This window comes from Homo sapiens, chromosome 11, assembly GCF_000001405.40.
Source record: "Homo sapiens chromosome 11, GRCh38.p14 Primary Assembly".
NCBI lineage: Eukaryota > Metazoa > Chordata > Mammalia > Primates > Hominidae > Homo > Homo sapiens.
In genome coordinates this window covers 110,999,898-111,026,186 of record NC_000011.10, presented here as the reverse complement: position 1 = coordinate 111,026,186, position 26,289 = coordinate 110,999,898, and the positions used below count along the sequence as shown (strand labels likewise).

Genomic DNA, 26,289 nt, shown 5'->3' with positions numbered 1-26,289 from the left:
TTTGTACCAAGGTACCATATGGACTAGCAGTGACCCTGACATGAAAGGAAATACAGAAGACTGGGAGGAGTTTGTGTTAAAGAAAACCAGAACCTGACAGAAGTTAAAATGGTATTTGCAAATTTTATTCAGGAACTATTGCAATAGGGAGAAAGACACCTCAACACAGAACTAATTCCATTCCAAATACAAGGACAAATGGAGACTTAGAGCCAAGGAACAGGGTGGGAGGTCACTGGATCGAAAATTGTTAAGGGAAAATAAAATAACAAAGATAGGAGGGAGGGTCAGGCTAAACAGACTTTTGATAGGATTCTTGCTGAAGGTAGGGCAGGATGACAAGATATTGAGCATGGGGGATGAGGAATTTGATCAGATATCAAGGGTGGGAGATTTTCATGAAACTGATTCGGCAGGATTTTTGCTGAAACTGGACTAAATGGGCCAAGGAGAGAACACAAGTTTGGGGTCTTGAGGGCCTAGGGGAGCCCGACTAGAATTAGGAGAGAGTCTGTCACTTTGCATATTTGTGGGGCAAGGGAGGATGGTATCACTGAATGGTAAATGTCTTGACAATCGGGCAAAAAAATCTTAATTTTTTGTGTTAGTAAATTAGAAGCCATTGTAGATCCTGCTCCCAGTGCACTGAAGGGTTCTGCCTCCACAGATGCTGGGAAGAAGTTCAGAATTTTCTAAATGAGCGAAGGGCCACTGGGAAACATAACCCTCCACCACAAACTTCTGCTGTCTTCCCTGGTACTGTTGTGCGGGAGGGGAGGGGAAATAATGCACAGTGCCAGATACCTGGTAAACAATCAAGAAATAATTGCAAAATGAATGTGTGAAGCAAAAACCTGCATAAGTCATAGCATGGTTGCTAGCTCGCTGTAGACTACCATGCCAGCATAGTCTTGGGGAAGATTGGCAGGAGTCATAGAGAAGATGTGCTTGTCCATGGAAGAATGATGACCCCCACCATCTCCTTAGTAAATTTATGCCCCAGAGGATAGAGTGCAACTCACAGACCCCATAAGGCATAGTAAGAGTCTTTTCAAAAGAAAATCTCTGTGTTATCCACATGAAAGCTCCTGAGGTGGGCATAGCTCATAGAGAGAAAGCAAGCCAAGAATTCCTAGTGAAAATGCCTCTGGTTACAGTCAATTCCCAGTCTTTATTTTTCCCTATTTCTTGGTGGCTTTTATGAACACAAACCAAGTATTTTTATAACGCTTCTTCATTAAAGTCATCAAGGGTTGCAAGCAGGAGAGCAGGCTGCTGAGGGATCTCACTTCTTTGCCTTGCCAGAAGGTCCAGGAACAGAGACAGGACCAGGCTTTAATCCTTGGCCAGGATTAAAGATACAGGTCCTTCTCCGGACTCTGTCCCTCTCTCCTTCCTTCTTTTCTTTCTTCCCTCCTTCCTTCCAACTTTCCCACTTTTTTCTTCATCTACTTTAAGTATGTTACAGGTATCATACTGATACTGAAGAGACAGAAGTTAATGAGAGATCCCATCTTTGAACAGTCTACATCTTAGCCTTTCCTTGCATTCTTTGAAGATTTCGATCAAACTCAGGTGTAGGAGTAAAACTTGGTTTGGGTTTCAAGGCTGCTGAAGCTTAAATATTGCTGGGTTCCTATTTGGATTACTAAGAGGTGAGCAGTAAAGTGAGTCATGAGAGCTTGAGAGGGACCTGTTCTCCATCTGTCTCGGTATTGGCTAGGTTGGGCAGACAAATAGGACTGAAGGAGTCTGTGCCATGGTGTAGGTTTTAGGAAGAATAATTGGTTGTTCATCGAAGACCTTAAGTATCTGTGAAAAGAAAGCATAGCTTATATCACAAGAAATGTTATTTGTACTCCTTTTGCTTCATTCAAAGGAAGAGGGTGATGGAACAACTATGTAGGTATTCTTAGGTTTTGAAACACAAGTTATCAGAAGAGTCTTCTCTAATTTTTGAAGCTATTCTTTATGTTATATCCAATATACTAATAAAGACTGCTAAAATTGCTATGATAATTTCTTTGTAGAAAATATCTCAGAATGTAAATGTCTTTGTTGATAAAGAGGATAGAAAAGTAGTAGATAGTTAAATTCAAAAGTTGAAGCCAACAGATCAAAGTTCTAGCAGAGATGGTTTAGCCACTAATAAGTTGAGTGACCTTGGGTGATTCATTAGTCAACAAATTTATCTGAATCTTGGCCTTCGTACTATCAAATAGGTTTCATAACATTACCTACCCCACTCACATCACAAGGGTGTTGTGGGCATTCATTGAAACAAGGATATAAAAGTCCTTTGAATAATGGAAATTAGTGCTAAATTAGATTTGAGCATAATGAACTGAGTGTCTCAGAATACATGAGAATACATAAGAATACTCTCAGAATACATGTGAGATACTTAGCCCAGGTACCAATGACTATCATGTGGTAGCCTGAGATTTGTTCTGCTTTTCTTTGCATGTGCTGACTATGTCCACCTTTCTTCCTCTCTCACCTCTTTCACTTAAACTTGGCCCTTGAAATGAGAGTTCCTGATGTTTCTTTCCATAGCAATCTGATCTGTACTAAACAAGGAAGGAGGAGTTCTCTGGCTTTTAGCACCTATTCCCCTTTGCTTCTTTTTTTTTTTTTTTTGTGGACCCTTCCTCTATTGCCCAGGCTGGAGTGCAGTGGCGCAATCTCAGCTCACTGCAACCTCTGCCTCCCAAGTTCAAACGATTCTCCTGCCTCAGCCTCCTGACTATCTGGGATTACAGATCGCCACCACCATGTCTGGCTAAGTTTTGTATTTTTAGTAGTGACGGGGTTTCACCATGTTGGCCAGGCTGGTCTTGAACTCCTGACCTCAAGTGATCCACCCACCTCAGCCTCCCAAAGTGGTGGGATTACAGGCATGAGCCACCACGCCCAGCCTCCCCTTTGCTTTTCAGAAGCTTAATTCAAGTTCTCCTTGGATACACCTAAGCTCATCTTCCCATGACCACACCTAAGCTTGTCTTCCCATGGCTATCACAGCTCCCCCTTGCTGTGGTCCTCCTACCTCCAAGTTATCCTTCCCCTCAGAAGGACAGTGTCTCTTTCTTCAAAAGTGATCTCCTCTTTTCAATGGCTTTCTAGGCATATTTTTCCAATGCCTGATATTTAGGATTTGATGATGTCTTTCTAGCCAATTCTGAAACCCCGTGAGAAGGATCATCAGTCTCATATTTCAAATAGTGATCTGGCATCAGACCAAAGCCCACATTTCCCAGTTTAATCATTCATCTTGGTCAACAACTTTATTTCTGAATGACTTTTATCTGTTTCCAAAAATTAAACCCCTCATCCCAAATGTGAATTTACCATCATTTTAAGGATGGGAAAATAATACCACAGATATTAGTGGCAATTCCTGAGAAGGAGCCATTCAAGATTTTTGGAATATTTATCATTGAAATGCATGTTTAGGCTCTGGAGGTTTAAGTCATCATTTGAATTCAAGCATTCTAGTATGTTTGACTTTTTAAAAAAGTGACCTATTTTTAAATTAGGGCTGTGTCCATCCAACAGCTAGTAGCCCATTTACAGACCCTGGATTTGTAGTTTATCTGCTTTCAAAGGGTTATTAAATTGATTCCAACAAATGTTGCTGTAATAGAGGTTCTAAAATAGGAAATTCAAAACCATGAAAAAATGGGGGGAATAAAATATTCATAAAACAGAGTTACTGTTAATGAATGTTAAGTTGAAACTGCCCAAGAGGCAAAAAGGAAAAAAACAAAAAACAAAAACAAAAACAAAACCCCAAAAAAACCATGAGAGGCCAACGCTCAGTCTTTCTGTCATTCAAAAGGGAAGATTTCAGGTATTTAAGAGAAGCAGGAAAAGGTAGCTGATGATCCTTTGGCGCCCATTCAGTAACTCCTAGGAGCTTTCACCTACACTACCTTTGCCCCTCCCTCTCTAACTAGCAGGGAGATTCCAGGTAATTTACCTAATGCAATACAGGTGATCCCTTATCTGTGCACTTGGAAAGCAGATGGGGTGGGGCTAATAATCCCTGGCTCATAAGTTTGTTGTAAGAATTTAGTGAGGTGCTTATAAAGCTCTAGCAGGGTGCATTGCACATTGTAAACATCCAGTGAATTCTGCAATTCCTATAACACCCTTCCAAGAAGGTGTTACTATCTCCATTAAGAAATAAGATTCCTCCACTTGACAGAGTGTCACTAGTGTATGGAGAGCCAGGATTCCAATCCAGGTCCCTAGTCACAAAACCTATGGCCTTTCTACTGTATCTGTTAACTCTAAAAGGCATTTGCCAAATGAGAGTTGTTTTACTTTTTTAAAAGAATATTAAATGACATAATGACCAGTGTAGGAAGCAGACTTTCTGGGGTATTTCTTAGGCTGTCAGTAAGAGCCTTGAGATTCGCATTGAACCATAACTCAGGAAAATTGGTTCTGTAAGGGGCCAGGCTATAAAGTCCAGCTTCGCAAAGAACTAACTTAACGTAAATAGAGGATGAGCCCCTCCAACTATTCACATGCACCTAACCCTGGCTGGTCACATAAGGTGCTTTGTAATATTCATGATAGCTTAATGGGCCTGATTATGATGGCATGAGAGGTGCTTTTCTAACAGAAACAGCCCTCAGCAACCTCCTCTGCTTGATCTGCTTCTGTATGAGCTGAAAAAAAGCATTTTCTTGACTCCATAGCGGCCAATCCCCTGCCTGCCTCTTTGTTTTGGTTCTAGTTTTCACCCCCTTGGCAACAGGCTCCTGCTAGGCATTGTGAACCCTCAGCCTGCCAGGATTCCAGGACATGTTTCTGGAAGGTAACATGAGAGGCATGGTGTCCCCTGGCCTGCCTCTTTGAATAGTTTACTCTGTCTACATTCTCAGCTGGAGCTGGCACATGGTCAGCTGTGAATCGGAGGCTCCACCCTTGCCCTGGCTTCCTAGGCCTTAGGTTCTGGGGCTGATAGAATGGAGAACGCGAATGAACCAAGGTGCCAGTCTAACGTCTGCTCACTTCTGACTTTCACCAACTTCTGCTTTAGTCTATTGCTGATCGCAGTGGCTCTTCATCAGACAGCTGGGTTTATTAATATTTGCCCTAACCAAGGTTTCTCATTTCCTACTGAATTATGATGACTTTGATTAAAAGACATATAATTGATTGAGTGTGCAGGTTTAAGCCATTATTGATAACATAGGCTATTTTGTTTGAGTCTCACAATAAAACCTATGGAGTATGGAAATCAAAGCTCAGACAGTAGAAATAACTTGCCAAGGGTCATACAGCTTGTCAACGGGAAGGTAGGGTTTAAACCTGGCCTGACTGCAAAGCCCATGCTCTCTTTTACCATAATATAGTCCTCTTTCCGATTATGTCTATGGGTCTCTGGGAAGAAACAGTGCTTAGAAAATTTCTTTGTAGCTATTATCTTTGTCTTCCTGGCCCTTAAATTTAGAGAAGACTGTTTCCCAAGAAACAAGTGATAGTCAGCTCCCAGTCCCTGGATATCTTACCACAGCAATCAGTATTATCCTCTGTCTGTGCATGAGCAAAAATCTCTTTCTTCTCCAATAATAATGAATGATGAAAATGGGCTCCGATGCCTGATAGATGTGCAGTCTCCTGTCTCATTGCAAGACGTGCCAATTCAATTGGCCATTTTCAGCATGGATGCACAGGGACTTTTGACTCTGTGTGTTGAACTGTGATGCTGGAATCTTTTTTTTTTTTTTTTAAATCAAGGCAATTGCAGGGAGGCGAATTTTGGACTTCAGGGAATGAAAAGATAAAATGCAATTTCCGGCTTGAAATTATTTTTTAAACTCCTCAGCAGGATGGATTTTCACTTTTGGCAGGTTTTGTCTTATCAAACATGTAGGGCTGGCAGCTCTACTCAGAGCCTGTCCTAAGGCAATGCTGTGGTGAAGCTGCCTTCCCATTTTTATTTTTTATTTCCTCTTCTACTCCCAGCTGTCTCTACTCTTCTCCTCCAATAACCCTGCACTCTCATGCCTGGCACCACAGCGTGGGTCAAAGAGCAATAACTCTGGACTGTCAGGATCTGGTTATTGGTCCTAGCCCTGCCAACCTCTAGCTATGTGGCTTTAGAGAGGTCTCCTATCCCACTAGGCTTTCATTACCTCGTTATAAGATGGGCAGGCTAAGCACACAACTTCCAGCAATGTCCAGCGACTCAAAGGAGATGATGTAATCAAAGTGCTTTGCTAACTATAAGAATTTCACAAACTTTGGTTACAGTTTTACAAACTTTCGATTCTCTCAAGTTCCCCACCCGTCTTTCGAGGCCTAATGTCATATAAAACTCAATTTTTTTCTCTGTACTCCATCTTTATAAAAGTTTACAATTCCTCAGGCCACTTGAACTGGAGAGAGGCTGGAGAAAGAGAAGATCTTTAGCTAGTGCCCCTTCTGTCTCCCCACAGGAGACATCTCGGTGGAGGAGAGGGCAGCAAGTATCATTGATGTCTATTCAGGGAAGCCACAGAGCGCATGGTCACCCTGTGACATGCAGTTCTTCGTTACAATTGTAGGGAGCACCACACTCACCAGGAAAAGAGGATATTGGCTTTCGATCTTGTCTCTGAGAGGTACAGGCCTTCTATCTATGCTGTCTGTATTTGGCCTGTGGATCACTCACAGCAGAAAGCCAGCCGGGACCCTATGACATGGCCAGGCCCCAGTGAAACGTCCCCTTGTGAATGCCCTTCACCATTCAAAGACCAAGGATGCCTGTAAGTCCTCCGTCTCCAGAAAGAGAGTTTTGTAGCCAGCAGGTCAAAGACAGTGAGGAAGGAAAGGCCTCAGTGCCAGTGTTTAGGTGGGAAACCCTCCAAAGAGATTCACATTCACCATAAATTTATTAAATGCTCTGGGTGGTATTATAAAGAAGAGAGCTATTCAATTTCATCTAATGTAACACTTCCCAAATATGTCTGACAATATGATCCTCTTTAATTTTCTCCCCATAAAGGCTAGTAACATTCCACAAACACACTCTGGGAAACCACAGTACAGTGAAATGCAAATCAAGAATAAATCTTGGCTGGGTGTGGTGGCTCATGCCTGTAATCCCAGCACTTTGGGAGGCCGAGGCAGGCAGATCACTTGAAGCCAGGAGTTCAAGACCAACCTGGCCAACAAGGTGAAACCCCATTTCTACTAAAAATACAAAATTAGCCGACTGTGGTGGCACATGCCTGTAATCCCAGCTACTTGGGGGGCTGAGGCGGGAGAATCGCTGGAACCTGGGAGGTAGAGGTTGCAGTGAGCCAAGATTGTGCCACTGCACTCCAGTCTGGGCAGCAGAGTGGGTGAGACTCTGTCTCAAAAAACAAAACAAAACAGAAATAATCTAAACCTCTAGGTTCAGAGTAAGACCTCACAATTTCATAATACTTCCTATGTACTAGGCACTGTTCCAAGTACTTCTCATCTATTAACTCATTTAGTCCTCACAGTAACCCCATAAAGTATCATCATCTCATTTTTACATGTACAGAAACTCAGGCACAGAGAAGTTAAGCAACTTGCTCAAGATCACACAGTCATTAAGTGGCAAAACTGGGAATGGAACCTAGGCATTTTGGCTCGTCTTTCTCCTAACCAACACTATTAGCAAAAATCCTGATGTATGAAAGAAAATAACAACTGCTTTACACAGTTTTATGTGGTTTAAATGAAATAAGGTAAGTTCCTTAATCCTTTATTTGGAAATATCTATCAGATGGAGAATACTATTAATACCTAGTTTATAGGCATTGTGTCGATCAAATAAGATATCATTTCTGAGAGTGTTCTGTGAACTTAAACTCTTATTATTCAGGCAGAAATGCAATCTCTTGGCCTGTCAATCAATGATAGATTTTTCAAACAATAACATATCAGCTCCTAAGTCCTCTTTGGTAAGTAACCTTGATTCCTATATGTTGGGTGCAGGATGCCTTGATCCGAGAGTTCTAGTGCAGGAAGAATCTAATCCTAAAAATTTTCATGAAGGGTATAGAGGAAATTCCCCTTCTGAAAAAAGAAAAAGAAAAAGGAAAAAAAGCTATGCAAGATTTTCTTTTCTTTTTTTGTTTTTGTTTGTTTTTTTTTATGAAACACACTGTGCTTGGAAAGAAATTCTATGGAGAGGGATCATGGGTTATGTTAGTAAAATAAAGACTGGGCCTCTCTCTCCCCTTATTTCAGCTTCTGATGAGAAGCGTTGGTGAGTGAGAGAGAATAGTTCATCCCAGTCCCACATGGTGAGCTAAGGAGCTCTGATTCTACTTTGTATACCATTTCTCGCTTTGAGAAGTTCTCCTGTAAGTGTCAGCTATAGTAACACTTACTGAATCATTTTTAAGTTGTTTCTTGTCCTTTCCTACCAGCCTTAGAATTGCTTGTGGAGAGAGGATGTGTTTTACTGTTGTCATAGCCCCAGAACCCAGCACAATTTGGCTGAGGATGGAAGTACATTCAAATTGGTCTTGGGATTTTTTAATGGCGACCTTGAGTATTTAATCCTAATGCGATATATAAATTTATTTCCCTAAGTATTTTTTGAGTAAAAAAATCAAGCTGCTAATTTTTATAACTTGGTAAAATGTAAAGTGCCTTCTTCACTCCTGCCCTCTGTCTATGGGCCCGTCTCCCAAACTTCTTCAGTTTGTGTCCAGCAAAATTCTTGTTGCTGTCAAATGAGCCAAGTAAGATGAAAATGTGTGGTGTCAATGTCCCTCTAGCGAATAGGAAGGGTGATAGAGTGCTGTACTAGCTGGAATGTATAAAGAAACATTGTTCTCCCCCATAAAATTAATTTCTTTTTACTCCATTTTTTAATTATAGAAGTTGTTTAAATTATAAAATTGACACACATGGCACTTTTCTTTATGTGCAAAGTGTGGGTCTTTCTGCTCTCCCACTTCCTCAGCCCACTCACCAAAGGTGAACATTAGAAATGGTTTCATGTGTAATTCTCCAGAAACTTCTATGCATATGCAAGCATGTAAGTAAAGGATATAGTATATATTCTTTATCATTGTACTCGAATGAGTTCATTTTATACTTGCTGTTCTGCAACTCCTTTTTTAAAACTAACAATCAATCTAAGAGATATTTACACATCAGCACTTCATTTTTTTAACTGCCATATGAAACTCTTTTGTCTGACTTTATCATAATGTAACCATTCTTCTTTTATTGCACATTTAGGTTGCCTGCAAAATGTTGCTATTAAAAAGAGTGCTGAACACAGCATTTTTATGTTTGTAATTTTATCCTGTTAATATTACCAAATTCCCCTGTCACGTTCCCCGCTAGCATACAGTGTTGCAGCACCCATTTGCAACCTTGCTAATGGTAGGTATTATCTGATGCTTTAATCTTTCCCAATCTGATAGGTGAAAATGATATCTCATCATAATGAAAATTTCATTCAACTATGAGCAATATAATCATCCTTTCATACTTTAAGGGGGTATTCTTTTACTTTTTCTGTATGAATTGCTTGTTCATATCCTTCCTCATTTTTCAATTGAGTTGTTGGTCTTGCTAACATGTAAATTAATATATTAATATGTAAAACTCTAGATATTAAGGAAATTCACCTTTTGCCAGTGATCTGTGCTGTAAATATTCCTCCTGATTCGTCATTTGTCTTCTGAGTCTATTTATAGTGGATTTTGCCATGTGAAAGTTTAAATTTTTTATTAAGTGAAATTCATAGATTTGGGTTTTCATGTCATACTTAGAATGTCACTGCTGCCAGATTATATTTTAAATATTTCATCTTCTCCCCTAGTTACTTCATAGTTTCATTTTTGAAACTTAAATCTTTGACCAATCAGGAATTTATTTTCGGTGGAAGAAAGGAGGTAGGAAGAGGAATTCGGCGCTACGTTTTCTACATAGCCAGTCAGTCATCTAAACTCCATTAATGGGCTTCCTTTACAAGTGTGTTTGTGTCTGCTTCTAGACTCTTTATTCCATTCCACTGAACTGCTTATCTACACTTGTGACAGCATCAAATTTTATAAATTACTGGAGACATTTTAGTAATTTAGAGCCATTCCCCCCTTTTTTGTGCTTCTTTTTTTAACCAAATTTTCTGGCTATATCTCCATGTTAAATTTTTCTTTTGTATGTTAAGATCAGCTTGCAAGTTCTAAAAAAATGCCTGTTAGTATTTTGATTGTAATAAAATTGTAGTTATACATTAATTTAGGAAGCATTATGATCCTTAAAATAGGGAATGTATCTGTAAAAATATAACTTTTTCTTTATATAAAGCTTTTATTGGTTTTCAGCAAAGATTTCTTCCTGTAGGTTTTTTTCATATGTCTTCCACATTTTCTTTTTAAGTTTATTTCTAGATATATTTCTTAATATAAATAAAAATGAAATCTTTTCTGTATTTTTCTGCTTATTTTATATATTGATTATTTTATATCAACTTTGAACCACCATTTAGTTATACCTAGTTTATACAGAAGGACACGTAGGCGTTTTGTTCCTGATCTCTTGCATACTTGAAAAATTCTATCTGCTCTCTTTACACTTGAAAGCAAATCTGAGTCACTCCTTATTTTCTAGTACTAAATATGGAGGAATCATCAGTTTTCCCCATAGGTGAATATTTGTGTGTGGGAGATGAGGAATGCTGAATTTCACTGAATTCTTTTATTATTCTTGAAGTCTGAAAACTTCATTAGGCTGTATCTTAGAGCTGGTTTTTCTGTATCACTATTTTTTCTGAGCTATAATATGCCATTTTAATCTGTATAAATTCTAGATTTCTGTTATTTATTTCATGGTAATTTTCTTTTCAGGTATTTTTGAATTTTTTTGTTCTAATTGTCCTGTTCTTACTTTTTCCTAACTCTGATTCAAAATTTGATGTCTTTAGTCTGTCTTCTACTGGCGTACCAGTAATTTACTGTCTAATGACTTTTATCTCATAATTTGATAATATTTTTTATTCGTATGTTTTTGTTTCAAGCCAGTCCTCCATGTCTTTGTTTTTCAATTAGTGTCTATTCTAATATTTTGCTATTTTGAACATTTGATGGGTTTATTTCTTTCTTCAACTTTTCTCCTGAACTTTTCTTGCTCACTATCCGCTATCTTGCCCTACTTTCTCTTCCTTATTCTTTCTTTTTAAACTTCCTTTTTTGAAATCTTTCTTCAAAAGCATACATTTCCTTCTACTTAGTTGATGATGTCCATTGCAAAGTGAAATTTGCTTGTTTGGTGAGATAGACATTTTTGGAAAGTTGTTGTTTATATTTGTGTTTGATCAGTTTCTTTTCTCCTTTTCTGTAGTTATGTAAGTAGAGGTCCCATGCTGGGTTGTTTCTGATAATCAGTCACCCTTCAATAGGTGCCAATCCAGGTGGGAGGGCTATTTACTAGAGAATAACTTTAGGAAGGGTGGGAGGCAGGGAGGCGGGCTGGTTGGCAGCTTCCATTCAGGTGCTCGGCCTCACAATGTCTTCCCACTCAATATGCTGCCTCCTTTGCCTGGGAATACCTCTAGCAACTTTTGGTATGGTCCCTTTAGGGTAAAAATAAGAAAAGAATGATGTACAGCAAAGCCCTTTTCATTAAAAATGCTCTATGTAGTGATTTATCTTATTTGAGCTGCCTTTGATCAAGAGCTGCAAATCTGTTGTCACTTGTTTGCTCTCCTCTTCCTGCCACACTTCCAGTTACCCATGCAGTGCCTCCTTCTCTGTTCCTTCTGCCATCCTGCAATGTGGAAAGGACTAAACATTATTTCAGAATGGCCAGACTGGGAGGACAGAGGATGAAGAATCTGGGCCCCCCCCTAGGGTGGAGCAGGCAAGAGGGGATAGTTAGAACTGCAGATGCTCAGGGAAGACTCAGCAAAAGCATGGTGTCCAAGAAGTGAGACAGAATTAGGATGTAGTTTAAGCAAGAGCAGCAATCGGGGTCAAAATATGGTATACGTGTGTGTGTGTGTGTGTGTTTGTGTGTGCATATCTGTATGCATCGGGTAGGTAGGGATTGAGGGGGCAATGTCACTCCACAGCCATAAATGGGGGTCAAAAACAGGCAGGAAGGCGGCTGCCATCAGAGCAGAGTCTTGCTCCAGCAGCCTGTGGTTTGAGGATGGGGCTCACTTTTCCAAATGTTTGCTGACCAGGAGACGCAGGACAGCAGAGGCTTGAGTGTTAGAAACACATCTGGGTTTCAATTTCAGCTTCAGAAATTATTTATTATATGACTTTGGACAAATTCCTTAACTGCTCAACATTTTGGTTTCCTTAACTGTAAATTGGGGATAATTGTGTTTGCCTCACAGAGTTGTTGTGGGGCCAGAGATGAAACATGAAAACTGTCTAAGTGCCCTGTCTGGCAGGTTACAGGAGCTCAATAAAAGATAGTTGTTTTTAGTATTAATGACTCAATTGAGTGATGATGATAAATCTCCTGGTCTCCAGCCTCTCCCCACTCCAAGCCAGCCTCTACGATCTGCCAGTGTTCCTGCTACACACAGACCTGGCCGTGTCAGTTGCTACCGCACAACTGTCCCCACATCTCGAGATGTCCCTGCCTCCCTTTCCAGCCTCACCACCTACCACCCACCTTTTATTCTCTTTCACATGAAACTTCCTTTATTTCTAGAGTCTGTAAAATACTTTCAACTCACCTGGCTCTTCTATATGATGTGCCTTCTGCCTAAATGCCCTTTGTTTTTTTCCATGGGATCCACTTCTGCTCCCTTATCTGTAGAGTTAGACATACGCCTGGGTTTGAATTCCAGCTTCAGAAATGATCACTCCCTACCCAGTATCACACACACACACACACACACACGCACATGCACGCTCACTGGCCACCTCCTGCCCAAAGGCTTTCCTGTGCCCTGAGACAGACTTAGAGGTACTCTCTTGTGTCTGCAGTACTTCGCACGTATCTTTATCACAGCAATATTTTGGAACATTGAGAAGCAATGCTAACTTCTTTATTAATTGTTCATTCAGAGGATCTATGACTTATGGAGAACACCCAATATGGTCAGAACTCTGCTTAGGTACTTTCACAGATGTCTTATTTATTTCCACAATAATTCTCTCAGCTGCACAGTTCTCTCTAGTTTTCAACTCATGACACAGGGGCTCAGAGGGATTAAGTACCTTGTTCAAGATTACCTGATCAATAAGTGGTGAATCCAGATTCTGTCTGATTCCAAAGCCCATGCTTCAGCCAGCATCTGAGAAGAATAAAATGAGCAATGTTACCAAAGAGAGATATTCAGATTTCACACAGAAGGAAAAAAAAATCAATATTCATTAGTCTGCCCTGGTTCAGGTCCATATATGATTTTTGTTATGCTTTTTGAAAATGAATCCCAGACAAATACAATCATGCCTTTGGTTTGCAATGATTGGAGGGAGAATTGAGAATGCACTTACTCATGCCTGAGCCTGTCCAGATCCATTTCTTTCTTAGGAAGTGTTAAAGCCAAATGTGTCTAATGTCCCAGCTATCCTGGCGCTGTCCTGCACGGTCCTGTCTCTGCCTGTGCTGTAGAAAATGCAGACTGTCCACATCCATATGGAATCATTTCTGCTATACTTTCCAACTGGTGCATTATTAAAACACCTGCTGTGGTGGAACTTACTCAGTGAATGGGGCCATCCATTCCTTCAGTCCTCCGTTCACTCCGTGATTTTATTTTATTTTATTATTTTATTTTATTTTTGAGATGGAGTCTCATTCACTCTATCGCCCAGGCTAGAGTGCAGTGGTGCAATCTCAGCTCACTGCAACCTCTGCCTCCCGGGTGCAAGCAATCCTCCTGCCTTGGCCTCCTGAGTAGATGAGATTATAGATGCCCACCACACCCGGCTAATTTTTATACTTTTAATGGAGACAGAGTTTCACTATGTTGGCCAGGCTGGTCTTGAAGTCCTGACCTCAAGTGATCCACCTGCCTTGGCCTCCCAAAGTGCTGGGATTACTGGCCTGAGCCACCGTGCCTGGCCCTCAATCTATGATATTTATTGAGCACCTACTATGTGCTGAGCATCACAGGCTACTCAGAACCTCTGCCAAGGGGATGCAGGAATGTGCTCCTGGTACCTTTGGTCTGTAAAGCACATAAACAGACTCTCAAGTAAATCTCTTCCTTCTCTGAGGCTGACTTGTCTTGGTGTCTTGTGCTATCATCTCCTTCACCTGGGGGCACTGATGACATTATTACCTAGATGACTGTAACATTTGCCAAATTATCTGTCTCCTAGAACCTTTCCCTGTGGAGACACCACATTTATATTCAGGACAATGTGTAATAAACTCATACAAAGGACTTCTTGTTTTTAATAGCAGAATGGGCCTACCACCAGCTGTCCTGCTTTATAGGTTAAAACTGAACCTTTTTTTTTTCCATGAGAACAGAAATAAGCTATTACTATAACAGGTGCAGTTGCAGTCAGAGGAAGATGGGGTTTTGTTCAATGAAGGTCCCTTTCATTCTGATGTGCATGTTAATGGGCTTAGATCTACAAAAATGGGCCTGGACGTTGTGAGTAGGAGCTGGAGAGAATTGAATTGCTCTTCATAGTAGAATGAGAAAGAAATTTGAGTTCCAAAGGGGGGTAAAAATGGGGATGGGAAGAGAAAGGGATCATAGAGACTGAGGGAAGGGAGAGAGAAGACAGAAGCATGAAAAGAAGGCAGAGTTGTTCAATGGGATTAAATTGGCTCATAAAATCTCCCCAGAGGTGAGTGGCCAAAAGCACTTACAAATAGGGATGTCTGATGTTCAATGTATGAGTTCATTATACACTGTCCTGAATATAAAACTTGTTTGCCCTGTTGTGATGCAAACCATGATGACATCCATCTTCCTTGAAACTTAAGTGAACTTTCTTATACAAAAAAATGCCTTGTGTGACTGGCTTTATGAGCTAAAAAAAGAGAAAGGGACAGAGTTTCAGTCTCTGAGTCATTGTGATGTGTTTTAGGGTCCCCATATGCATGACAGTGAGATAAACTAGAAACCAAGCCAGTTTGGCAGGCCGCCATTTTAGAACTGGATTTGCCATTCTAAGTCACTTAAAAGTAATGTGGCAACTGGACAGACACTCAAAGATGGTAGGTGAGCCTGAGGGGTATCTGAGGGAAGAGAGTACAAGCAAAGAGAACTGCAAGTACAAAGGTCCTGAGGGGTGGGGCTCAGAGGGCAGAAGAGGGAGTACAAACCATATTGTGGGGAAGAGAGGGGTCTCTATTTCCAGAGAAACAGCCTGGAGGGGAGAGTGCAGCCTCGTGCCTGGCTCCTATCTCAGGCAGCAGGAAGGGCCACGTGTTGGATGTTCCCCAGTCAGAACATCCACGTGTTTTGTTCCCCAGTTAGAGAAGCCACGTTATCTGAGTGTCAGTAGCAAATCCTGAAGGCCTGAAAATCACTTTGTTCTTCCCGAAAATGCTGTTGAATTTTCCCCAGTGCACAATTAGCACTTAAGTGTATGCAGTGTTATTACTCTGTGGGTCATTAACCATGGGAGCTGCCTCCTTAGCAGAGCCACTAAACAGTTGTTGACAAAAGGCATGCTCATCAGCTCATACTTGGGCAGTTATCCTCATTCTTTGGATTGCACAGCACAGACAAAGGGTTGGTTTTGATACCCACACTACCATCCTTCTCCTCTAAATCCACAGCCCACTTCTGCTTAAGTTTCTTTCCTGAAGGTCAAATTGCACAGATCATGAAATTAGACATCACTACACTCTTGTGAGGGGAGATAACCCTATATGACATGTGACCACCTGTCCAGGGAGAAGTTCAGAGAATCCCACCCAGCCTCCCTCTCGTGGCCCTGGGTGCCATGGCTTATATGCAGGGTGGGCTGAGTGTTACAGAATCAGGGCCTGCCTGCAGTGCTGGCTTCTCGCTGATGAACGTGGATCTCAGGCTCATCCCTAAAAATATGTTGATTCTGGCTCTATTCAGAGCCAAAGCATATCTAGATAACTTGAATCAATCCCTTCCAGACTTGAATCTGAAATTGCCTCAAGGAGAACTTGCTAGAAGGAGATGGTTCTCTGTCCCAGGAATTAATGATGATTCCACCTGTGTCATAAACTAAACAACAAATATCTTTCTCCAGGTGAAATGTCCCATCTCTCTTTTTCTAGGAGTGTATGGTGTGGCACAGCCTTCTTCCCCCATCCCTCAATCCACCCTGGGCTAGAGGGATAATGCCCAGTTACCTCATCTCCCCTTGCCCCCACAAACTCCCCATATTCCACCTCTCCCTTGTCCCTACCTGGACAAACTCAAAAGGACCCTTCTTCTCCCCAGATAACTAAATGTGATATTGCATTTGGTCCTCTAACAAGAAAGAAAGGAATTAAAGAGTAAAACAACTCAGTTATTTTATTTCTCTCTCTTCTCTCTCTCTCTGTCTCTGTCTCTCTCTGGCCATTGTTTCGAGCTTCGCTGTTGTTAGCTCCCTTTCTTCCATGTATTCCTTAAATATTAGTTTCCTGAAGTTCATTGCTGGTCCCATTTCCTCACTGGTGGTCTTGCCTATGCTCATGATTTCAATGAATGGGTACTAAGCTGAGGCTTTCAAATATGTCTTCCACACAGACCTACCTCTGGGGCTTTTGAACATCTAACTCCCTGTTGGAAATCTCCACTTCAGCTTCTGAACAGCATCTCAAACTGAATGTGACCAATGTGGAATCCATAATTTCTCCCACCCCAAGCCGATCCCTCCTCCTGGTTGCCATAAGTCTGTCCAGTTGACCAGGCCACGCGCCTGCCTCCCTGAATTTGGTCAGCTGGCTGCCAAGCCCCGTCTCCACCTGCAGTGTCCAGTTTCATGTTCTCTCCCATCTCCTCCTCTTGTGTCTCACTCTGACTGGGCACTATTCCGACAGTCTTCTCACTGGTATCCCTGCTTCCAGCCTGGCCCTCTCAAATGTCCTCAACACCATAGGCAGATCTGTTTCTATTAGTTCTTTTTACTTCAAACGTTGATGGTTCTGCTTTGCCTTAGAGCACAATCCTCTCTCCACACTCACTTTCAGTGGCCCCTCTTCCTGTACCTCAGTTGAGCTCCTGCCGCATGAACACTCAGGCCTTGGCCCCAGCCTCAGGATCCCGTGTTGGCAAATTCCTGTTCATCTTTCAAGACCTGAGTCCCCTTCTGGGAATCTTCTCTAATTTTTCCCACCCCACCTTAACCAAGGCGGGTTAGTTACCCTTGGACCCGTTCCCAAGCCAGGGTCTCTTCCCTCTCTTGTGAGTCTTTCTGGCCCTCTGAAGTCATACAGTCCCAGACTTTTTGTTGTTGTTGAGTTGTCTAAACCAATCAGCTCATTCTGTAAATATTGAGAGTAAAACCAGACATGAAGTGACTTGTATGAGGTCACACAGCTAGAAGCGGCAGAGCTGGGACTTGAACCAGGCAGGTCTCCTGGCTCCTGACAAGTGGAATGGCTGGGAACTGTGATTCTATAATAACTCTAGAGACCAGCAATAGGACATTGTCCAGTCCGATCACACTGGCAGTTTCCCTTAGACACATCATGGGAGAAATCAGAAAGGCAGAAATCAGTCCGGAGTGCTCCTTCCCATGTATCTAAAACCCGAAGAGTTTCACCCTGAAGACTGGGTTAAATTCTTCTATGTGCTCTGTTACAACTAAATTTTTCTTCTGTAACAATTCCCATATTTGCATAATTATTTGCTTACTATCTGTTTTCTCTAGTAAATGAAAAACTACATGAGGATGGGAGGCCACGTTAATCTCATTGCTGGCTAGATACTTGTATAGTGCCAAACATGGTTCACACATCAATGTTTGGCAAATGAATGATGGATGGACATTCTTTAAAAATATCAAGTCACTCCCCTCTTGCTGTATGCCTATTAACTTGTGTGTATCTTCAGTCTCGGTCCATTTGCATATGATCATTAGGGGCCAGGAGAAAGAACAAAAGGTCCTATACTGACTAGAGAGAGAACTTTTCTCTATGGATTTAACTTTTACTACACAAGTAATGCACACTTGTAGAAAAATTTTAAAATATAAATAAGTAAAAAGAAGAAAATGAAAATCACTTGTAATCCCACAACTATTACTATTTGGTTACAAAGTCTCTCAAACTTTTTTCTTAAAAACTTATAAAAATGTAAATCATTCTCTACATAATGTTTTGCAACTTGATTTTTTCACTTAACAATGTATTGTGAACATATTTCAACATCATGTAATATAATCTCCAGCATATTTTTAATGACTTCATTGAATATCATTAAACTGAATAAATGATGTATTTAACCAATTCCTTATTGGTAAACATTTATATTTTTCTAGTTTTTTTTTTAAACCATAGTATGGGCCATGTTGTAGCAAACTGTCTTGTAACTAAACCTCTGTGCTTATCTATAATTATTTCCTTAGAATAAATTCCTAGAAATTGAATGACTAGATCAAAGAACATGCGTGTTTCAAACTTTTTAAAAACATGTTGTCAAATTGGCCCCAAAAGTTTTAGGAATGCATATTCCCTCCAGCAGGGTATGATGGGAGTCTTGGAGAGAAATGTTTAATCTAGAGTCCTTCCCCTGGCTCACCTACTTGCCAATGAGTTTGGCTGGACCATTCCGTCCTTTTACTGTCTTCAACCAAATAGGTGCAGTGCTCAGTTATCAGCCATCTATCCTTGCATGCCTCTCTCTTTCTCTCTTCCCCAACAGATTTCAATTATTTTCAAATGGTTGCATATATATTGGAGGTCCTACTTAATGAACAAACTCAGTGTGCTGATGTCTCTTCAACCCAGATGTCTCGCCCTTCCCCTCACTGGAAGGAAGCCCCACAATTTCATCAGCAAACAACATACATTCACATCTTCCAACATATCAAAGTTTAATATCCAATTTAGGAAAATGAAAGTTGCCATCTTTAGAGGAATGGGAGGAAATCTTTTCATAAGAGCAAGGGGTGGTTACTGGTGTGGGCAACACCTTTCACTGAAGGTTCAGCATTGAAAGAAGCTGCAGAGTCTTTGCAGGTAAATATTTCCTCTCAAAATGTAGCAAACGTCTTTTGCTTAATATATAATTTAGCACTTACTCTGAAATTCTTTGCCTATAGTACATCAGTCACCACAACAAATATCAAAAGTAGATATTATTATGTCATTTTACATATGAAGAAAATGAGGTTTAGAGTGATTCATTCATCATTCAAGAATATCTACCGAGTGCATAGCATTACATTTAGAAACATGGAAGTTATTGGTGGTCTTAATAAGAATGCTTTCACTGGAGCAAAACCCTGATTTGAATGTGTTCAAGAAAGAGTTGGGAGAATCTAGAGACAGTAACTATTGTATAGATTGCTCTTTCAAAGAGTTTTGCTATAAAGGGAAAGGGAGAAATGGGGGCTATAGCTACAGAGGAAAGTGGAGTCAAAAGAAAGATTTTTAGTAAAACGGAATAACAGCATGCTAGTATGGGAACAGTTTGAATACAGAAAAAAAAAATCCTATGATGCACGAGAGAAAGAAGTGGCAAGGTTTGCTCAGCTGAGAGCAGAGTGTGTTCATCCACATTAACAGAAATGAGATATAGGGAGATGGGTAGAGGCGGAAGTGGGAGTTTGTGGAAATTCTCTCTTCATTTTTCTCGGGAAAGCAGGAAGCAAAGCCAGTAATTGAGAGGGAGAGTGGGGGTAGGGGGTTTAAGAGAACAGAGGACGTATGAGATCCTCAGCTAGGAAAATGAGACAGTGAACTGGCTAGGGAGGCAGAGTGGTTGCCAGGCAGCAGAAGGCACAGCTGAAGATGGTAGTCATAAACTTAATGAGACTAGTCAGTAAGATTATGTGTTTTTCTCCAAACATGTCCAACGCTACAGGCTCAGGTGAGGAAGAGGCAAAGAGGTGGATGTAACTAGGTTTCTCATTTAGCCAAGCAAATATGCCAAAGGAGAGGGACAAGGAAATTAAAAATACACTCAAGAATTACTGAATGGCCGTGGCGTTTTTAAATGAATAATGAATAAAAGGAGGCCATGCAAGAGGTAAGGGATGGTGAAACACTTGTATAGATCAATAAAACAAGATCTTGGTAGGAGTCAAAGTGTTGTTGAACTACTGGTGGTGGCAGGGAATTGGCAGGTAGAAGACGGTAGTGAGAGAATGGGATAGTTGAAATTGGGAAATGGAAGTCAATTACGTTTCTCAAGGTCATACAATGTTATGTTGCAGAGCTGGGAGTCAAACTAAGATCTCTCTAATCAAAGAGCCCACCCCAATATTTAAGCAGTGCACTCAGGACAGAGTGAGAGAGGCCTTAGTTCACAGAGGCACAGTTGGCTTTTGTGGTATCATTCATGCAAATGAGACCTCATGGCTTTCTGTGGCAAATATTTATAGCACCGCATGAGAATGGTAATGTAAAATTTCTTCTCCCTTTCTCCTCCCCCTCCTACTTCTTACAGAAATAGTAACTGGTTCAGATGGGCTGGGCTGGTTCCATGGAGAGCATATGTTTGCTGATGAGGAGAAACAGACAAAGCCAGCTAATGGGAAAACGTGGGGTCCCTTATGAGTTCGGGGTTTAAATATCAGTTTCTGGTGTTTGTGCCTGTGTGGTTTTCTCCATGAAAGTGATCATTATCTTTCTAGCTTGAGATCTCCCCTGGGGGTGCTTGGTGAGGGCACCCACCCTCTTTAGATATTAACCATTCTCTAACAGCAAAACCACGGACAGGTCTTGTGGTGTTATATGTGGGGCAGAGTTAAATACAAAACAGACACTGAGGCACATTGAAATCGTGAAGCCGACGACAGCCCAGGAATGCAGAGATTGAGGCCCAGTCTCCTATGCGACTGCTGACTGTAAGAATGTTAACTCTAAATTTCCTGAATGTTGTCAGATCACAGCAGGGAGTCATGCATCCTCCCTGTAACATTCTCTCTCTCTGTTCTCTTTCACACACACACACACACACACACACACACACACACACACACACACACACATCATAAAGCCTTGAGGAATGTGTTCAGGATTTATGCAAGCTGTGTGCCTGGAGACCACATACTCTGTGAGAAAAATAAAATCTCTAGTCCTGAGAGATGATAATGATCATTTAGATTAGAACCATAAAAAGGAAAGCCATAGGATTTACTCTTACTGTGAATCTTGGATATTTCTGAATTGCCACCTTTCAAATGATGACATAATTTTGTCAGTGCTACTTCTTTCCCCCTGGTTTTCTTGAGTGACTTAAGCAAAGGGCCAACTGTGTGTTTCCAGCATAGAGCCTGGCACATGGAAACTGCTTAAACAAATGCTATTGGATAAACCTAATGGTGGCTTAAGGTCATTACTCAGGGGTGGTTGGTGATCTTAGACTCCCCTACAAGTTCCATCAATCTCCTCTTCAAGTCACTCCAACTGAGTTTTTTTAAAATATGAGTTTGCAATGTAACCATAGCTTCCAAGAGAATTTTCTGGAAAGAAAAAAAAAAACCACCTCCATGTTGCCCCAACCAGATTGTCATCCCGAAGACCCCCATATACAGAATGCTGGAGCTGTCCCCATCTCTCTTATGACCATTCCTTCCTCCCTAGTAGGTAATGATGGCTTGCCTGAGATAATCCACACTGGTGTACAGGAGTGATGGGTCTTACACCTAATAGCTCTATGACATCTTGGAGGCAAGTTTCTGAACCTTAATGGAACCTAGGTTTCCTTATCTGCAGAAAGGAATAAGAATATCAACATCCTATAGTGGTTTTCAAGAATTATTATAACGGATGCATAGTACTCAATGAGAGGTTATAAGCAATATCCCTCATATGAAATATAGGTCCAATGGTAATTCTGGATGAATGTTGCCTCTTTCAAGGAAAATATTTTCATTGTATCAGGGACCTAGTGATTGTAACAGACTCATAGTGATTTCCAGGAGGGAAATCTCTGCTTTAATTGAGGGTGCTAACAACATAGTGATAGTGGGAGTGAAAGTTTTAATGATGGTTTTTAAGTGAAGCTCTTCTTTCACACTATATTGGGACTGATTGTTTCTGGTGGGGTTTCAGTGAGTGGAACTTTCTGTGAGCCTCAGAGTCATAACCAGTGGGGTCTGCACAAAGAGGGGCTTGCCCTTCATTGAGGCTACTGGCTCTGTGCCTTCCTGAGCAATACATGATACCCCCATTGGGAAGGCAGTCCTGTTATGTCCAGGGCACTTCTTGCCAACAGGAGGCCCCTCCACCCTGGGATAAGCAGAGAGAAGAACCTATGCTTTCTTTAGGCATGCACAGCATCCTTATTCCAGAGGTTGTTGCTCAGTGACATACCAGACCAGAACTCCCTGAATCAGGCACCAGGCTGTGAGCAGACTTGTAGTTTGAAAAAGTTATGCAGGTGATTCTGGCATGTTTTCTCACTATAGTTCCCCTGCCCACAGCTTTACTGACACTCACATCTTCCATGCCACTTGAGAATCAATGTTCTGTAGTTGACCCGTGAACTACATGGACTGAACACACAGGTCCAATACATGGATTTTCCTCCATCTCTGCCACCCTTGAGACAGCAAGGGTGTCTCAAGACACCTTGAGACAGTAGGTACATATGATATGCTACCTACTAAATATGGGTTAACCTACTGTTTATGTTGTCAACAAGGCTCTTGGTCAAAAGAAGGCTAGCAGTATTTAAGTAGTAGTTAAATTAGTAGTAGTTAAGTCAAAAGTTATATGTGGATTTTCAGCTGTCTGGTGGGCCAGTGCCCATAACCCGTATGTTGTTCAAGGGTCAACTGTTTTATTTGGCTCAATTCTGAATGGGCACACTCTTCTTGAACAATTGTACAAAATAATAATCAACAATGTCATCAATGTGGATTGACTTTGTACAGTTTCTCTTGAGTACCTGAATCTGAATATAATTGCTATGTATTTAATAATTTTCTGTGCTATTACAGTTTAACCCTAATAAAATCACATTAAGAAGGTTTCCCCAAAGAGAAAATCAACTTGACAAAAAATTCCATAAGCCAAGGGTCAATATCGAATATTATGGCTACCCAGGGCTTGAAGTGGCATTATGTCTAGCCCAGCTTGTTGCCATTTAGAGTCTTTCCCTGATCAGGAAAACATACTGGACCTAAAAAAAAAAAAAAAAAAAAATCCCTTCTTAGACACCTAATGTTCAAGGAATTAGTAGTTTCCCACCCCATTTAACTTGTTTCTACATATCATGATCTAGAATGTTCTTTTATGAACCCCCGATTCCACCTCTAATGATAAACTGAGGCAAAAAGGGAGGAGAGAAAGGGAGGAAGAGAAATGTGGAGCAAATATACAATTCTTAAGCACTTATGATGTGCCAAACAGCAAAGAATGAGTAATGGGACTCATCAAGAACCTACTGTCTACATGCAGATTGTAAGTGCTGGCAATATTGCCCTTATTCTTTACGAGATTATAGTCAGTTTTCATCGGGTAACTGAGTGCCGCCAGTTGTCATAGCAGCAGGATTGGATCAATTAGTAATTGAAAATCAATGTAAATAGTTACATAACATAATTTTCTGCTATTCTAGTGAAAAACAATTACTATAAACATATCGCTATGCTTGGACATTAGGAGGGATTCTCACCAAAGGAAACATTGGCATGACTGAAGCATTCACATGCACTGGGCTCATGTTTGAGTCACATCCAATCCTCATATGACTCACCATTGTTAGCAATCAGAAAATGAAGGCAGCCTACTCACATCTGGATTCTGATCATTGGCTCACTATGGAAAGTGCTGAAATGTCCTTGCTTTGGAATAAAGAAATACAAGCCAAGAATAAGGGGACGAAGGCCCATTGTCAACTTCAAAAGACACTCTTAGTATCCTTACGATTCTTTTGCTTTGGACAGTTTGGATGATACATCCTTTTACTCAGGAACTAGAAGTGAGCAGCAGGAAGTGAAGGCCTATTTGGGGGACTTTAGGACTTGCTCCAGAGGATGAGCAGTTATCATGAGGGAGAGAAAGTTTGTGTTGCTGGTCAGCAAATACCAAGTGCTTCCTTTCTATTCTCTGGGACAAAATCATCATTGCACCCTTCCTTGGAAGCATGTTGTGGCTGGTACTGCTGGTACCCTTCACATATCCCCCTGGGTCTTACATTTCAGTGCTTATAGCACTAATTTACAATTTGGGGCACGTTTGCCTGAGAGCTTTCTCTGACTTCTAGAGACAATCTGTGCACAGCCATGGAAGACTAGAAATGCTGATTTGCTACTTCGGAGAGCCATCAACCAATACCTGATGGAAATGGCAAATGAATTTTCCTACTTTCTTGCCCCTTGCTGGGGTGACTCTGAGGCTCCTACTTTACAGTATCTCCTACAATCCTCTAGGAGGATGAAGCTTCAGGTGACTACGGCAGTTACTTGCTTCACATTACATTCTTTATGGTTGCCTTCTCTTCTCCAGCTCTACTGGGTTTCCCTGCCAGTGTTTCCTGGGTTCACTTCCCAAATAAACTACTTGCACTTGAATCCTTCTTTCAAGGTCTACTTTTGAAGAAACCTAGACTAAGACTTATCATACTTTTTCTTTTCTCATCATGCATTTTCTTACTTGGTCTAACCAGAAGCTTAGATAATTAAGATCTCTTGATCTTTGATCTCTTGATCTTGATAAACCAGTGTTGAAAATCTAAACACTCACAGAGATGCAGCAAGTTACCTAAATGGGAGAAGTGAGCTGGATAGATATTATGCTAACCAGATGGTACATACTCTGTCTCAAAGAGCCAGCTGCAACTCAGCCCCAGCCAATTGTTGCCACATGGAAAAGTGGGCCCAATGTGGTCACATCGAGTTTCTCATGAGAAGACCGAAATCTAGATTTTTGTGTAGCATCTCTTAATATGTAAATATTGGCCACAAATTCAGATGCTTTTATAACACTGAGCTGGCCAAATAAAACACATCTGTGAGCCATATTTGGCCCAGGGGCCACCAGTTTGCAATCACTATTACAGAAATGCAACCCTTAGCAGGAAATTCACAGATAACATTTAAAGCAACAAGGGTTGCAGCACTTAAAATGGATTTTCACAGCCATTATCACATCTCTTTTAACAGAGCCCATCCTCAGCCCACCCACAAATGGCTGTATCCAGCACTGCATATCTGCTCAAAAAACAAAAGCGACCCAAGTGGAGAGAGAAAGCTAATCATGGGCTTGGCATCTGATTGTGGTCTGGCTTAATACATTATTCTTAGAGCCAACTGGAAAGGAAACCACCACCCAAATCCGTCACGACGTGTGCTATCACAGTGAGTTTAAATTGGGTGGAAATGTTGTGAGTTTAATAAAATAGAACTGCTGAGATGTACATATATATCCGGGTTTAGCGGATAGCTTTTCCAAGGGCATTGTGATGTCAAATATGTTTGGCAGGTTCAATTCTCTTAGCACCCACATTTGCACTGTTTGTAAGATGGGGGTGATTGGAAGCACATGTGCTAATAGTAACTATGCATAATGTGTGAAATTAAGGAAGTGTGGAAGTTTCACTCATGGTCCTAAGCTAACCCTTTGCAGTTGTGTGGGGGGAGAGGAGCAGAGAGTTACATCGTTTTTCTTCTTCTTTTAGGAAACAACTTGAAGCTTTTAGCCTACCTTTCATTTTGCCTGTGGAAACCAAAATGCACAAATAATAATTAAGACCCTGGAATCCCATCTCTGCCAGTAGGAAAGATCAGTATCAAGTGGCGCTTTTAGGTCGGGTGCAGTGGCTCACACCTGTAATCCCATCACTTTAGGAGGCCAAGATGGGCAGATCACTTGGTGCCAGGAGTTTGAGACCAGCCTGGCCAACACGGTGAAAGCCTGTCCCTACTAAAACTACAAAAATTAGCTGGGTGTGGTGGTGCATGCCTGTACTCCTAACTACTCAGGAGGCTGAGGTGGGAGAATCGCTTGAACTCAGGGGGCGGAGGTTGCAGTGAGCCGAGATCGCAACACTGCACTGCAGCCTGGATGACAGAGTGAGACTCTGTCTCAAAAAAAAAAAAAAAAAAAAAAAAAAAAAAAAAAAAAAAAAAAGTGGTGCTTTTAGTTCTATGTGTCTACCAGCCACACCCATATGTAGGAAGGAATAAGTTCTAGAGACCTAATGTACAGCATGGGGAGCATAGTAATAAATATGTCATATACTTGAAATTTGTGGAGAGAATAGATTTAAATGTTTTCACATGC

General features: G+C 41.1%; 1 long non-coding RNA gene across 1 annotated transcript; it reads left to right on the top strand.

The window, feature by feature from the left end:
* Positions 1-3,722: 3,722 nt before the first annotated feature.
* LOC105369489 (uncharacterized) lies at positions 3,723-25,359 on the top strand. The gene is made up of 3 exons (XR_948009.2): positions 3,723-4,999; positions 7,529-7,715; positions 25,170-25,359. It is a non-coding gene; the product is annotated as an uncharacterized LOC105369489 (long non-coding RNA).
* The last annotated feature ends 930 nt before the right edge of the window (positions 25,360-26,289 follow it).